Consider the following 16,156-nt stretch of genomic DNA (forward strand, 5'->3'; position numbering starts at 1 on the left):
TAATATCCATTAATAATAACGATATTGATAAGAATTATATACTATTCTCTGAAAAAGATTTAAAAGGAAGAAGAGAAACTATCTTTTACCACTAGAGGCCCCCCACCGTGTGGTGCGTAGAGACCCATAACAAATTTCAAGGTAAGGAACTTCATCTTCATTTTAAACTGGCACTCGACTATTACTTTTTTAAAAAGTAATTAACCCCTTACGTGTTCCCAAAGGTGCCTTCATAATGAAATTCCTGTTACTATTATTACCAGTGTTACTGTCGCTACTGTTAGAGTACTCTCAAAAGAGCCTGTCTCCCTCTCCTGGAGTAGAACTTAAAATGGGGCGGAGGCAGGGAGTTACCAAAACCACTGCAGTGTATGCTGATTTCAATAACCTGTACTGCTAACGATCCAATCTCATTTCCCAAGCCTCTACTATCCTCATTAATTTTTCTGCCGATGTACCATCTGTTTTCCAATTTCCCTCTGCCTTACACGTGCAGAACTTGTGGTAGAGAGAAGCCCTAGTTTGGCCGTTCTGCAAGGGATAGCCCAGGAGGTAGGGGGAACCTTAAGTTGAAGTCACCTGAAGCATGTTTGGGGTCAGGGAACTCGGAAAGCAAGAGTGTGGCCACAGATCTGCCCAGAGGCGCGACCCCCAGCTGAGGAGACCAGATGGCGGGAAAAAGCGGGGGTCCACCGACTCCGCGGCTATCTGTAATCCTACCCTTGGCCAGGCCGGGGAGCCAAGAAAGACTTCCAACACTCCCCAAGTTTCAGCTCAAGTCGTCTCCGAGGCTGCGTGTGCCCCAGCCTCGCACGCCTCCCTGCAACGTGGCCGCATCTGGGGCGCCCTCATACCCTCAGGGTTTCCCAAACTCTTCCATTCTCTTCCCAGGCCCAGCCATGTCCCAGGTCTCCGGGTCCCCGGGTTCTCCTCTCCGCGTGCCGGGAGAGTCTCCAGCTTCTCAGACTCCAGCAACCCCAGCCAAACCTCTTCGCTGCCTGGAGCCTTGGCTCCCGCGACACCGCCCGGCTGCGGGGCGGGGGCAGGGCCAACGGCGGAACCGCCCCCAACCGCCTCCCAGGCCAGGCGAGCAGGCGGGTGGCTGGGGCGCCTCCACCTCCTCTTCCTAAAGCGGCGAGGCGCAGAGGAGCGGCATCACTCGAGCCCAGGTCCCAGCCACCACCACTCACAGCGCTCGGCGTTCAGGAAGAGGAGCAGCAGCGGAGGCGGCTGCTTCAGCGGCGGGCGGGCGCCAGAAAGGTAGACTGAGTCCCAGGGAGCTGCGCCGCTAACAGCCCACCTCCTAGCCCCGGGCTACGCGCCGCCAGCCCAGTAACCCCACTTTTGTGTGTCCTCCCAGGCCCCGATCGAAAAGCCTGGGAGGGCCGCCGAACTACCCCCGGAGGGAGGAGCCAGTCCGAACCCAAGGCGCCACCGCCGCAGAAGCGGAGCGAGGCAGCATTCGCCTCCATGGCCCACTCGCCGGTGGCTGTCCAAGTGCCTGGGATGCAGGTGAGGAAGCGCAGGCCGCCCCCGCCGCCCACGTGACTGCTTGGGAGCCCGGTGCGCCCTCGGTGCTGGGCACCGGCGACAAGGGACGGCCCCAGGGCTCCCCTGAGGGCAGGGCCGGTCACTATGGCCAGGTGACCTGGGAGTAGGGCTGGAGGTGTTTCCTGGTGTGTAGGCTAGGTAGTGCTCTTCGCTGGGAAGGCGAGGCGGGACTGGAGCGCGCAACTAGGTGGAGATTGAGGGCGGTTGGGGGTATAAAAATAGGCCAGAGCCACAGACACCTGCGCCTGCTGAGCTTGGCACGGTTGGGGATGGGGGGGCGGAACTTAACCTGGGAGAGATGGAAGTGCCTTGGAATTTGTGGGGTATAACGCGAGTAGTGAGTGCCCTACACCCCCCACCCCAAACACACACTCAAGTTGGGGCGGGGCAACACCAGGGGTGGCGGCGGCGGCGGCTTGAATTGGGCTCTTCCTGTGTGCGTAGGGCTAAGAGAGAGGTGACCTCTTTCTCCCTTTCGGTACTGCTGCTTAAGGGCAAAGTTGTAGCTTGCTCCCCGACCTAGCCCAGCCCATAGTGTGGCGTGAGAAATGCTGGTTCTGTTCAGAGTCACTGAGGTGATGACTTCTCAGCCCCCTCCGTGCCTTTCCCACAAGATGACTGTTACATGTGGTTAAAGGAAGCTTTTTGTCTTGGACAAGGGACTACTGCATGGGACCCAACTTGTTACTCGAAGTCTACCCAGCCCAACCCCCTCCCATTATATTTTCATTTTATTAAAGATAAGCTATGTCAGAAAACTTTTTATGCTGTTATGTTTTTAAATCGGTGCATTTTAGGCTATCTGCTAAGTGTTATCCAAATTTACTAACTTTTTAAAGCATTCATGTTCTATTTTTTTTTCCTTTGCTAGATGGCCTAAACAACCCATTTAGGGGCTAAAACCACTGAAGCCTCAGTCTTTCATGATCTAAAATGTGAAAACAAACTTTTTTGAAGTTCAAAAATAAAATGTTTATAGTAAATAGCTTATATTTCTAGTAGAAATCAAAGAGCTGTAGACTGGGGCCTCAATTTACTTATTGATACATGGAGTTTTTTTTTTTTTTTCAGTGTTCTCATTTTATGAATGTCCACAAAAGTGATTTTTAAATTCTTTCCCAAAATGGGATTTATTTGTGCACCTAGAACTCTTGGTGTGTCCTAAACACCAGACATTTCAGCTGCATTTAGGGCAAGTCTGGGTTGAGTCTCAGGAAGTTAGTGTATATTAAATAAAGAGAGAGAGAGAAAGGGAAATAGGAAATAGTAGGGCTTAAAAAAAAAGATTAATCCACTCAAGCCTTGCAAAATGCCTTAAACTTTCTTCCTCTCAGGCGGCCTCCCCTCTCCTTCCCTCCTTCTTTTCCCCACGCACCCTGCCCCACACCCCATTCATTCAGTTCTGCCTTTGATTGTATCAAGGGAATTCATAGTTCACAATACTAAGTACAGTTTTGCTGTTTGATCTGGGAAAAAGTGACATTTTCTCACCGTGCTCTTCTTTCCATTCTGTGGAGAGTAAAACGATGCACATGTGAAGTTTGTCTCTGAGGGTCTCCATGCTTCTCGCTCCATTGTGTGCGCGAGCCTGCGTGTGTGCGTCAGCAGAGTGAGTGCCTCCAGTTCATCAAGTTTGTGATTCTGGGGAACTCTGTGTGCTGAGGGGAAAATGGTTTCTGATTTTTATTTTATTTGTCTTGAACTTATTGAATTTATATGGTTTAGGAACTGCTTGCTGTTCAGTATTTCTGATTGCTCCCTGCTTTTAATTATCTGAGTTGCCTATCTCTTGAATTTTTAAATCTTAATTAATGTGGATTCGAATGTGAATCATATACTTTAAATTACAAATTCTGCCTTTCACTCTGTGCCCTCTGAGTTGTGATTACTTTGTCCCACCTAATTTGAGTAGGGCAAACATCTCAACGTTAGCAAAGAAGAGAGGAATCTTTTTTTTTTTTTTTTTTGGTCATTCTCTTCATCTTAATGAAATGGTAAATTCTTAACTTCTTATTTCCATTTTATTTCTAATGTAGTTCTTAAGCACTTTGTGCAGCACACAGTTTTTTCCATAGTTGAAAATGTACAATACCTTAATAATAAATTTGATAGCATGCAGTGTGACTCTTGAAGCTAGACTATTTTTATTATTGTTATGTAGCAAAATATTGCAGATGAGATGCAGAAATCTATCGTGAGCTTGTAAAATTCTCCTAGAGTTTTATGAAGGCGTTAGGAGCAACTTTTAGACCTTTAGAAAACTTCAGTTAGCCATGTGTTCTTGAAATTACTGTATAGTGTTTCCACAAATCAGGGTGAGGTAGCCGACCAGCCTATAACTTTTTAACAGTTTATTTTAGAGAATTATGAAGATTGATGGGAAAAATGATTTTTCCAGAAATACAAAGAAAATTACTTTATCCACAATTATTTTCTCCCTCTGAGGAGAGACGTGAAGTAGAAGCCCAGCTACCTGTTCTATCACTTAAGATTTCCAGCATTCCTGACTTTCAAACAAAGAAATTGCTGTTGCCACTAGTTTAAAATAGAAAAGAAACTTGGAGTGAAGAAAGAAAACCCAGGATTTCGTCCAGTTCAAACTCTTCCTTATGAATTAGTTATTCAAACTCATATTGTTGATATTTCTTAATATTGTGGTAACGAACATTTTTTGCCACGTTACACCAAATGTTGAGGGTATGAAGTTTTTTGTACTTAATTTGTGCTTACTTCTTTAGTGTGTAACTAGAGGAATTTTCCATACCAGTAGCTGAACTCTTGAAAATATTTAAAGTACAACTTAAAAAAAAACCAATAAACCTGTTTCTTTCCACTCAAATATTTACTCTTTAATGATTCAAACCCTGTTTTCTTTGAAGTTTTCAGTTATAAATCATACTTAAGTTTAAGATATTTCCCCTTAGAGCCTACAATAGTATTTTTGAGGACAAGTTTCATTTAGAATATTGTTGATTGTTAAATCTTTCGTAAGATGTAGGTGGAAGAATAAAGTTAAATGTTGAGTTAGAGTACTAAATGTTATGCTTTATGCTGTGCCTCTTGTTAAAGAACTTTTAAAGCTTCTGCTAAAGAACTTTAAAATTAGCCTTCATGTATCTTTAAATATGACCAAGGTGGTACAGTTTAAATCTAGTTGTCATTTGAGATGAGAAGTAGAAATGAAGTTTAACGATTAATGATCACTTTATTGAAGACTTTTATCTAAGTGGTGGGAAACACTGCCCGACATTGGTGAACATAATCACTGGGTTCTGGGAAGCATACTGACGTATATTACATGTTCCACCCTTAAAGATCTTAAAATCTTGTTGAGTTGTTAAAACTAGCACATGAAATATCAAATAATGCAAAATCTGTGAACTCACTGTAAGTATAATAGAAGTTTCTCACTGGAAGTGTTGAAGGCTTCCAGAAAGTAAGCTGACCCTAAAGTCTTGTTAGGATGCACACTGGGCAGGGCATTTCCAAGCAAGGAAAAATCCCCAGCAGAGGTAGACAGACTAGGATTTTTTGACTTTACAATGGTACTCACACAACCATTCTGTTTTTCGCTTTCCATACAGTATTCAGTAAATAACATGAGCTAGTCAACACTTTGTTATAAATAGGCTTTGCATTAGATGATTTTGCTTAACTGTAGGCTACTGTAAATGTTGTGAACACGTTTAAGGTAGGCTAAGCTATGATGTTCGGTAGGTTAGGTGTACTGTATTAAATGCCTTTTCAAGTTACAATATTTTCAACTTATGATAGGTTTATTGGGACGTAACCACATTTTAAGTCAAGGAGCATATGTATACAATATAGATAAGGAAAGGTGCACTGCATTTGTGAGTGCATGCACACACACACACAATCTTTGAGAACAGGATAAAGTCATTTGGGCTGTCATAGAGAATTCCTCTAGAAAAATGATACATGATAAGGTCGGAAAACTGGATTGAGTACAGATCATGATTGTCCTTAAATGCCAGGGAAGGATTTTGGCCTTTGAACTAGCCATTAAACATTTCTGAGTAAGGGAGACTCAATGTACCAAGTTATATATCGAAAGAGAAATCTCAAAATTGGATGAATGAATCAACTGGAGGATTGAGAGGGGAAGGCAGTTTGATCTACAGAGGCTATTTCTTCTTTTTTAATTTTTTTTTTTTGAGACACGGTCTCACTCTGTCACCCAGACTGTAGTGCAGTGGCGCGATCACAGCTGACTGCAGCCGCCACTTCCTGGGTTCAAGCAATCCACCCATCTCAGCCTCCAGAGCAGCTAGAACTACAGGTGCACGCCACCATGCCTGGCTAATTTTTATGGTTTTTTTTTTTTTTTTTTGGAGACAATGTTTAGTGGTTGTCCAGGCTGGTTTCCAACTCCTGGACTCAAGCAATCCATCCACATTGGCCTTCCAAAGTGCTAGGATTACAGGCGTGAGCTACTGCGCCTGGCTACAGAGGCTATTTCAATGGGTCAATCATAGTTATACAGATGCAATGGGCCTTCCATGGACAGGTTCCATGGACATATGTTTAGTACTATGAAGAAAAAATTAATTACCAGGCTTAATAATTAGCTAGTTTCAGAAGGAAAAGTTAAAGACTGTGGTGTTTAATAGGAGGGAACTGGGAGACTTATGATACATCTGAAAGAAATTGGAATGTAGTGGGGAAGAGCCAGATCTGGTAGGAAGTTAAGGATTTCTGTTCTAGACTTGTGAATTTTGTGGTAACAATGGGATGACAAAGTACATATGTCCAATAAGTAGTTGAAAATGTAGAACTGAAGCTTTGGTCATTCATCAGATATTTACTGAGCATCTACTCTATGCCGGGCACTTCACTTGAAAATGAAGGACTAGAGACATCAAGGAGGGAGAGGTTCATAATGCCAGAAAGAATATGTGGAAGTGAGGGCCCTCATGAGACAGGAAAAGTAAGGTTGTAAGAAAAGTAAGGGTTGTAAGAAAAGTAAGGGTGTAAGAAAAGTAAGGGTGGCTTTAAGATGTATGAAAGGATGAGAACGTGTGTCAAGTTAGAGAGAGAGTTAACTGGGGTGGGGGATGGGGGGATTCTTTACTTAACAGTCATCCGGAAACCTACATTGGAGAAAGAATTCAGGTTGGTACCAGAGTCCAGTATGTGGAGTTCTTACCTCCCTTACACCTCCCTAAGGGGATAATCAGATTTGCAATTTGAGGTTGAAAGCATTGCTTTGCATTGGTGAACCCGAATTATTGTCCTTGTTATTGAGTAGTTAATGCAGAGGTGTTGAATATGCTAATGATAATGGCAGAAGACCAGCTGGAACAAAATAATCAAAGACTGTTAGCTGAGAGAAGGCGGGGTTAGTTAGAACTTTTGACACTAGGGGAGTAGGGACTGTAGGGAGAATAAACAGGAATTGGGTATGATAGGACATGTGCCTTCAACAGTAATCAGAGTTTAGAAATGGCACTTGAGTACAAAGGTCCGTCATCATGTACTTCTCTTGCTTGAGTCACAGCAAATGAGAGAATATAATTTAGCTGGTACTTAGGAACAATTGAACATTGTGATATTGTATTTTTTATTCTGCTTTTCATATTCAGTGACCTTGAGCAAATCATCTACAAAATGGGGAATAATAAAAGCTGCATTTCCTTTGCCTCAATGAGAGGTTATTAGGATGAATTAACCATCATCTGTGGAGTTGGAGCTCCTTTGTAAAAGGTGTTATGATGTATGGGGGGCAGTTCATCCTGCAAAACAATGCTTGGCTAATCACATGAAAACACTGCCATTATCTCATCTCTCTCCTGCTTGATAACCCACATTTTTCTTTTGAAACCCAATCACCACCCCACACCACCCCAATGAGACACAAAGCCCTCTGCTCAGCTTTCCATACTTTCTGTTATATGGCTCCTCTCTGTAGATCTATACTTAGTTCCCACTACATCCCAACAAGAAATCCCTTTAATTCTACCATGCCAGTCACAGTTCAATAACCAGTGATTGGCCAAATTCTACCTGATTTTCAAGGTCCTCCATCTTAGCTTCTTCATGAACTCTCTCTGAATGTCCCAGGCTATAGAAATCTCTTCTATTTCCAAGCACCTATTCTGTCTATTGTCAGTAGTAGACAGTCTTGTCCTTAATGTATTATACTGCCTTAGATTTTCTCTAATTATATATGTTATACTTGCCTCCCAAATGAGGTTGTACATTTCTTGAAGGTGGGGACCATGTATTTCACTTTTCTTTATACCATTAGGTATGAATTATATGTAAAATCTTGGCTAATCACTATACTGTACAGTGGACTTTTCTAACTGTTTAAAATTCTGTTTCTTTAAAAATATTGTACAACACCTGAACTCTGTACACCTTAAAGACTAATTTATATGTGTACAATGTAGACTCTATACTTATTTAAATGATTTTCATGTATTATGTATAATATGTCTAGCAAAACATTCTTGTAACTAATCATCTGTCCACACACACTGAAGCTTTCATTCTCTTGTCTTCCACAGACTTTGAGAGAAAAATGAGCTTCATTGCTTTCTTGGTAACCATGGCTGATTTCAGGCAAATTTGTTTCTCCCCTCATCTCTTCTCCTTTTCTCCTTCCTTCTACTTGTACTTTCCCATGACTCTTCAGGGTCCTCTCACTGGTGATTTGGACCTATCTACCTCTTGTTTCTTCCCTCTTCCCTCCCACTCCCCAAAAAACAAACATAAATAAAAAACTGTTTTACTTCCTGTCTGAACTGTCACATTAGAAAGAATCTGATAATTTCACTCACACTAAGATGTTTTTGATTAATGGCTCAGTGCTTTACTTCTCCATGGATATTCACATTTTACAGAGAATTATACCTTAAGAAATGGAAATCTAATAGTAGAATTTCAGACAGCTTGATAGCAGTTTTTGACAAAGTTCTGTGTTCTGAAAGAGTGGTGGTTCTACTGTTTTTTTTTTGTTGCTAGAAAAATGGTGTTAGGCAAACAAAAAATAATAGTATTATTAGCTATAGTACAACAAACTCCTTTTCATTCCTTGTAATTAAGACTCGAAGAATTTCCACCACAGGTACATGTAAAACAATGTCTCTGAAGGAGTGGCAGAATGTAACTCATTTTAAAAAAATCAATTAAATACACAGAACTAAAATTTTGACCCCTTCTTTTTTTCTTTTATTTTAGTTGACATGTAATAATTATACATATCTATGGGATACAGAGTAATATTTTTTTTTGAGGCAGGGTGTCACTCTGTCACCCAGGCTGGAGTGCAGTGGCACAATCACAGTTTACTGCAGCCTCAACCTCCCAGGCTCAGGTGATCCTCCCACCTCATCCTCCTGAGTAGCTGGGATTACAGGTTGTCGCCACCATGCCTGGCTAATTTTTGTATTTTTTTGTAAATTTGGGGTTTCACCATGTTGCCTAGGCTGGTCTTGAACCCCTGGGCCCAAGCGATCCCCCATGCTTGGTCTCCCAAAGTGCTGGATTACAGGCATGAGCCATTGTGCCCAACCGAGAGTAATATTTCAATATATGGATATGATGTGTAATGATCAAATCAGGGTAATTAACGTATCTATCACCTCAAACATTTATCATTTTTTTGTGCTGTGAACATTCCAAATCCTCCCTTCTAGCTTTCTGAAAACATACAATAAATTATGGTTAACCATATTCACCCTACAGTACTGCAGAATAGAATTTACTCCTATCTAGCTGTTAATTTTGTGTTAGTTCACCAATCTGTCCACATCTTCCCCTCCTGCTTCCCTTCTCAGCCTCTAATACTCACAATTCTACTATCTGTTTTCTCATATGAGTGAGAACATGCAGTATTTGTCTTTCTGTGCCTGGCTTAATATAATGTCCTCCAGTTCCGTCCATGTTGCTGTGAATAACAGGATCTCATCCCTTTTTACAGCTGAATAGTACTGTCTTGTGTATACATACCACATTTTCTTTATCCGTTCTTAACCCTATCTTCTGTGCATTTCTTACTTGGTCATTCGCCATTTCAGACTAAAGTGTTAGATGGCAGGAACCACATCTTTGAATTAATGTTTGTAGAAATCAAATATTTATTGAAGATATTAACTAATTTCTCTCAATACTCCTATAACATAGAGTGATTCTGTAGGAAAATGCCTTCAAATTTGGATTTAAACATTAAACTAAGGGCACATTGACAGCCAACTCTACCCACGATCCCCTTTGTTGTCCCTCCCTAAAACCACATATGACTTAGGAAAATCACCTGACGCGAACATTCAGAGAAACCAGAAAACCTATATATGGAACATATCCTGTCCTCCATTCCTGCCTGCCTCTCCCCACCACCCCTCACTAGCTTATACCTTGCTGGGGATAGAGCTACAGGATGCATCTAAAAACTCCCCCTCAGGCTTTTCTGGACTTGTTCCAGCCTTCCCCTGACAGCAGCCTGCTGGCCTTTCTTTTCCTCCATTTATCATAGCATCGTGGATGAGAGTGATTTGTGTCTCAAAATATCAGGTTAACCATTGGTATGTCTTAGCTTTGGATAGTCTGGCAAAATTAGAACAAAACTGTGGTTCATACTTCCTGGGCCCCAGAGTAAACAAAATTGTAGATTGCTTAGATGAAAGAGTTGAAGATAGTCTAATTATCTTTTTTATATGTTCACTTTCTCTTTTTTGGTCAAGCATCTTAAAAAATGTGCCATTGAAGAAATCGAAGCCATTGTGTTTTTGCATTTTCCCCATGAAAAATGTTTACAGAAAAAGTTTTCAGCCTTTCTTTGTGATCCTTGTAACAGAGATTGTGTGTTGTCAGCAGTGTTTTAAATTTTTCCCTCTCCTTCTATTACCTCTTAAAGAAAAAGTGGGGAAAAGAAATCTGTACAAGTACAACCCTATTAACTTAAAATACAAAGGACTGAAATGCATTGAGTTCAATTCAACCATCAATGGGGTTTTTTTCAATTTGTTTATTATGGAACAATAGGGTGTCTAGCCAAAGAATTAATGGTTGCTTTGAATTATGGAAAAAGCTTCCCAGTATCAACTTAATGAAGTTTTACTGAATTTGAAATCCACACCACACTAGATGTGTTAGGAAATTTCTAAGCATGCTAGTGAATTACTCTACCAGGTTTCAATAGTGCCTGGTAACACAATCCTAGGAGTGAATTTTTGGCAGGTGGAGGAAATACTTCAAGAACATCTAGAAGCATCCAGATTTTTCTTTGAAAATGCATTTTTGAGTTGCTCTGTTAGTCCCTTTTTAACCCTTCTTCCCACCCCCAGCTTTCCACTAAACCATTTGCTTTGGGACATATCAATTTACAGTATATTATATTAAGCTAGGTTTGACTGCTTGATGCACTATAGTATAAATAACAGAGCAGTGGGTGGTGGGGGTGGGATGGGCAATATAGATAATCAGGTGGAGCATAAGCTGTTATTAATGCAAGACAATTTAGGGGAGCTGAGCCAATAGAAACCATAAAGTCAGAATTTCTTCCCAAAGCCTCTGCCTCATCATTATCGCTGCCCACTAGAGCTGGGAAAGTTTCTAAACTCCCTGATCTCAATTTCCTGCCGCCTGCCTTAACTTTTAGCAGAAGCACAAAAGAAACCAATCAGCAAAGCATGCACACATACTACTAAGTATGGTGACAGAAAATAGAACTTTGACCTGTTGTGGTTAAAGAGACTAAAGTCAATGTATCTGACAGCCTCAGGGAAATACGCATATTTCAAATTTATGTTTTTTAAGTGCTACTGACCCCATAGGAAGAACACTTGGCAAACTCATTAATTAGGATCCTGTTTGAGTTTCTAGTTTTAGTTCAAATCCTTTGTTTGAACTTAGTGGTGAGCTTTCTTATGTGCTTGTCAGTAAATGGTAATACATTGGACTTTACCAGCTTGGACAGTGGTGACCCAGGTTTTATGTTTTTACACACACAATCTACATGGTTTGATTTAAGCCAGAAAATTATTAGCAGCAAAGTTTGGAAGGCCTGCTTTGGGTAGGACAGAGTGCTTGCTGTCTATCTTTGAAATACAAAAAATATTAGAGAGTCCTTGAGCTCAAGAAGTTTATACTCTAACCAGAGTGACTAGACACCTACACATTTAGGAATCTAACAATGCAGAACAGTAGTAATGAATCCCAAATGAGATAGAATCTGATGTAGAAGCATCCATCCCAAGGAAGACTGGAGTAAGAAAGGAAACTATCATTTATAGAATACCTTTCTGCTAGGCATTCGTGTTTTGCTACTCCACTACCTTGCTTCTCGGCAGGATGGCCTTCAATAGACTTTTAAAAGAGAGTATGTATACATATGTAACTAACCTGCACAATGTGCACATGTTCCCTAAAACTTAAAAGTATAATAAATACATATATATATATATATAAAATAAAAAAATAAAAGAGAGTAGGAGGCAAGCAGGAGAAAAGGCCCAAGGGGACACACACAGGCTCCTTGTATAAGAGAGATTTGGTGTAGGTACCTATTGGTATGAATTGTGTTAGGGCTAGACTGTAAAGGGCCTTGAATGCCAGAATGAGACATTTATTCTTTTTTTTTTTTTTTTTTTTTTTTTTTTTTTTGAGACGGAGTCTCGCTCTGTCGCCCAGGCTGGAGTGCAGTGGCGCGATCTCGGCTCACTGCAAGCTCCGCCTCCCGGGTTCACGCCATTCTCCTGCCTCAGCCTCCCGAGTAGCTGGGACTACAGGCACCTGCCACTACGCCTGGCTAACTTTTTGTATTTTTAGTAGAGACAGGGTTTCACTGTGGTCTCGATCTCCTGACCTCGTGGTCCGCCCGCCTCGGCCTCCCAAAGTGCTGGGATTACAGGCGTGAGCCACCGCGCCCGGCCAGGAGACATTTATTCTTTACTCAGTCCATAACAAGGAGGTTTGGGTTTTTATTTTTTATTTTTTTAGCAATATAGTGAAATGATGAAATAACATTGTTTGTTTTGGAAGATTGCATTAGGCTGTTGGAAACCTAACAGGCTAGGCTGGAGATAAGGGAAGGCTTAATTGATAAGGGTTTAATCTAGGGCAGTGATGGTTAAACTGGAGCATGCATGGGAAGCACCTGGGGGGCTTGTGAAAACACAGACTACTAAACCTTAGTCCCAGAGTTTCTGATTGAATAGATCTGAGGTGAAGCCGGTGAATTTGCATTTCTCATGAGTTCTCAGCTGCTCCGCCAATTTGGGGAGCACTTTGAGCACCACTCAAGGATGACTTTAACAGACATTGGCGACCCCTTAAATATGAGAAGAAAGGAAACATGATGAGAGAGTAGAGTCAGAGATAAGGCTGAGTTTGGAAGAAAATTGGTACATTTTGGGGAATGTTGAATTTGAAGTGCTGGTCACATATCCAAGCAGAGGCAATCAGTAACACGTTTGTTGAAGAGAGGAGATGGAGACTGGCGAATCTTATGTGAAGATAGTAGAGGAAATTGTGAGAGATGAAAACAACAAGATTTCCAGTTATCTTTCCAAGAAGCTGAACTCAATTTTGTGTTAAGTTCTGCAGCTTCCAAAATCTCATGGTCACCCATGACTTCTGTTTTCCTTAATCTAGGCAGGTTTGCGACTTAGCAAACACCCATCCTCATCATTATATAGTTATCATTGGCCCATGTGTGCTGTTAAGTAACCTACTTCAGTTTTTATTGATTGATTTAATTTTATTATTGTTATATAATTTTATTATAATAATTTTTACAATAATTTTATTGTTTATTTTGTTATATTTATTTTTATTGTTTTGGTCTGGATAAGCCCCTTAGATGACAAATTCTTACAAATAGAACCTTTCTGTGGAATTATGTTACCATGCTCAGTATGGTTAGGTGTTTACTGTAGTAAACAGCTCATTAATGCTTTTATCTTCAAATGCAGACCCTTATTAAGAACATGAAATCTGTTTATGCTTATAGTTGCTAAAGTGCAACTTGGCTAAAGTGATATAAATGGCAGTATCTTAAATGCCAGTAAGTGGCAATATTTCCCCCACAGGTAGAGATTTTTAGACCTATTATTATGTCCCCCCCTCAAAAAAAAAAACAAACAAACCAGACTTAATAGCTCTGGCTGCATACACACACACACACACACACACACACACACACACACACACACACTCATTCACAGTCCTGACGTTTCAAAGCCAATTTGTATTTATATATGTAAATTCCTGGAAGGGAGAGGAAGTTACTTCTGAATCATTAAAGAAATATCAAACCACTTCCTAAATGGCCTTTCTGCTCTCTGAAATATTCTCTATACCTGTCAGATTCATATATTATCGTTTGCCAACAGGTACCCAGTAGGAAAGCTCTGAGTTTAGTTCAAACAAAGGATTAGAACTGAAAATAAGAGAAGCAAGTAGGGCAACACCAAACAATGTGAGCAAACTTGATTTACCTACCTCATTCACCAACTTTGGACCTAAATCACTTTTCAATTTCTAAAATGAACACACAACCAACAAAAACGAATCCATCCTTCAGAATCAAAGATTTGCCACCAATGAGGATGTGCAAAAGCATGTGAAGAAATATTCTCTTAAAAAATTTTGGCTGGGCTCCGTGGCTCACGCCTGTAATCCCAGCACTTTGGGAGGCCAAGGTGGATGGATCACTTGAGGTCAGGAGCTCGAGACCAGTCTGGCCAACATGGTAAAACCCTGTCTCTACTCAAAATACAAAAATTAGCTGGGTGTATTGGTGCACGCCTATAATCCCAGCTGCTCATGAGGCTGAGGGAGGAGAATCACTTGAACCTGGGAGGCGGAGGTTGCAGTGAGCTGAGATCACACCATTGCACTCCAGTCTGGGCGACAGGGTGAGATGCTATCTCAAAATAATAATAATAATTTAAGCCGTATTTAATTATCACTAGAATCCCTAAGCGACTTGCTTCCTCTTCAGGGAGTTAAATTTATTTGGATGTAAGAATGCTGATATGTTTACCTTATACCTTACACTTCATTGTGAGGATTTGCTGGGGAAAATGATAGATAGATAAATGGGTAGATGAATGAATGTATATATGCACCCTCAATGTGTATTGCACATGAAGTATATTTTACATTTGAAAATACTTTTAATCTGTCTTGTAAAAATAAGGCTTGACATTTGCCTATAGAGTTTTTAATAAACTATACTAATAGTAGTTACAACTATTTTTTAAAAGTAGAAAAATGCATTGTCAAAATAAAAATGAGTAACAGGATGGTCACTATGTTCAAGGAGCAGAAAAATATCATTTGAAAATGTCATTTAAGAAGGTCGGTGAATTAAGAGAAATCAATGTAATTTATGTAAAAAATATGTATTCAGTAAAAATTGTGGTGTCCATGGACTTGCTAAATATTTTTATTATATGAAAATGTATGGAAAATATGTAGAATTCTTTACCTCATTTAAAACCTTGTTTACTGGAAGGTAAAAACCTGTGAGTATGTACCTATGTCTAAATATATAATAGTATTGTCAGGATTTTACACATGATGCACTTTTATTGTAACACATGTTGCACGTTTATTGTGGCTAGTTCTTTCTACCTTTGATATTTAAATTCTTAGTATTCCTGAAGAAACTGAACTCACAACAGTCTGTAACATACAGAGTACAGACAATGGGAAATGGCTTTTAATGAAATTCAATACCAATATTAAGCAGTTTTAGCGAATTAGGATTGAATTGAACATTATCTAGGATTATATTTATCAAGATTTTCAATTCTTTGCTTAATTTTTCCTGTAGAATAGTTTTACAGAAAATCATTGCATTAAAGGAACTGCTTTTGATATATATTAATTTGTTTACCTGTTAGTAAAATCAGAGATATGTGGGCAGTAAACGAGTGACTTCTACTTCACAGAAACTTGTCATCATTGTCTAAGCTCTTATTTTGAAGCTCAAGTTGTTATAAGTACTTAACACTATAGATTCTAAGGGATAGAGAATGGAAGGGACCAGGCATTGAATTCTGTTTCTGTGACAAACAAAGTCTTGTAACCGGAGAGCTGCTTTTTTTTTTTTTTTTTTTTTTTAACTATTTATCTCTTCATGAAAAATGGTGACTGTCACTGAAAGATCTTTTTTACTCTGTCACAGGCTTCTCAAAGGGCACACAAAATGAAAACGTGGGATTCAACTAGTTAAATAATGAATCAATTTCGAGGTTTTAGCATAGGTGACACCTCCATGGTCGTCTTTTTGGACTGTGATTTCTGGTAATAGCAAGTGAAAAAAAACTATTACCGCTGTTGCTATGGATCTTCTATCTGCTGAGGTTCAGGCATCGTTTTTGGAGGCTGCGATGTAAACCCTGCTTAGGGAAGGTAGAATTTCATAATAACAGAGGATTACTGCTGCCTCATGAGTAAACAGAAAATGTAGGTGAGGGAAAAGGTGTTGGACTCTGGAAGAACAGAAAAACAGTATTTCCAAGGAAGGGGAAATCCTTTGCTTTAAAGATTGAGAATTCTTTCTGTATTTTTTTAGAATGGGAAATTTCTCTACTTTCTGCAGAGAGGAGAAAAAGCTAACAGAAAAGGAAAT

The 16,156-nt window shown here is 40.2% G+C and overlaps 1 protein-coding gene across 5 annotated transcripts in view, besides 7 other annotated features; it reads left to right on the top strand.

Moving 5' to 3' along the window:
• Window positions 703–1,249: an enhancer, noted in NCBI's record as "H3K27ac hESC enhancer chrX:131156878-131157424 (GRCh37/hg19 assembly coordinates)". NCBI's record gives its function as "activates a minimal SCP1, AML or CMV promoter by ChIP-STARR-seq in primed H9 embryonic stem cells {active_cell/tissue: H9 hESC(primed)}" and the evidence as "EXISTENCE:reporter gene assay evidence [ECO:0000049][PMID:30033119]".
• Window positions 737–786: an enhancer, noted in NCBI's record as "active region_29968". NCBI's record gives its function as "activates an Ori minimal core promoter by ATAC-STARR-seq in GM12878 lymphoblastoid cells {active_cell/tissue: GM12878}" and the evidence as "EXISTENCE:reporter gene assay evidence [ECO:0000049][PMID:35858748]".
• Window positions 947–1,196: a silencer, noted in NCBI's record as "silent region_21003". NCBI's record gives its function as "represses an Ori minimal core promoter by ATAC-STARR-seq in GM12878 lymphoblastoid cells {active_cell/tissue: GM12878}" and the evidence as "EXISTENCE:reporter gene assay evidence [ECO:0000049][PMID:35858748]".
• The window catches only part of STK26 (serine/threonine kinase 26), a 52,642-nt gene continuing 37,640 nt past the window's right edge, over window positions 1,155–16,156 (top strand). For 2 of the 5 annotated variants that reach the window (NM_016542.4, NM_001042453.2), the window contains exons 1-2: window positions 1,155–1,260; window positions 1,361–1,512. In NM_016542.4, coding sequence (NP_057626.2) covers window positions 1,471–1,512 — 42 coding nt within the window. In that variant the 5' untranslated portion in view covers window positions 1,155–1,260; window positions 1,361–1,470. Of the gene's footprint in view, window positions 1,261–1,360; window positions 1,513–16,156 lie in introns of those variants that run through there. The other 3 variants (XM_047442156.1, NM_001042452.2, XM_047442155.1) reach the window with 2 other exon arrangements.
• Window positions 1,237–1,396: an enhancer, noted in NCBI's record as "active region_29969". NCBI's record gives its function as "activates an Ori minimal core promoter by ATAC-STARR-seq in GM12878 lymphoblastoid cells {active_cell/tissue: GM12878}" and the evidence as "EXISTENCE:reporter gene assay evidence [ECO:0000049][PMID:35858748]".
• Window positions 1,237–1,836: a biological region, named in NCBI's record as "H3K27ac hESC enhancer GRCh37_chrX:131157425-131157972".
• Window positions 1,250–1,797: an enhancer, noted in NCBI's record as "H3K27ac hESC enhancer chrX:131157425-131157972 (GRCh37/hg19 assembly coordinates)". NCBI's record gives its function as "activates a minimal SCP1, AML or CMV promoter by ChIP-STARR-seq in primed H9 embryonic stem cells {active_cell/tissue: H9 hESC(primed)}" and the evidence as "EXISTENCE:reporter gene assay evidence [ECO:0000049][PMID:30033119]".
• Window positions 1,767–1,836: an enhancer, noted in NCBI's record as "active region_29970". NCBI's record gives its function as "activates an Ori minimal core promoter by ATAC-STARR-seq in GM12878 lymphoblastoid cells {active_cell/tissue: GM12878}" and the evidence as "EXISTENCE:reporter gene assay evidence [ECO:0000049][PMID:35858748]".

This window comes from Homo sapiens, chromosome X (genome assembly GCF_000001405.40).
Source record: "Homo sapiens chromosome X, GRCh38.p14 Primary Assembly".
Lineage (NCBI taxonomy): Eukaryota > Metazoa > Chordata > Mammalia > Primates > Hominidae > Homo > Homo sapiens.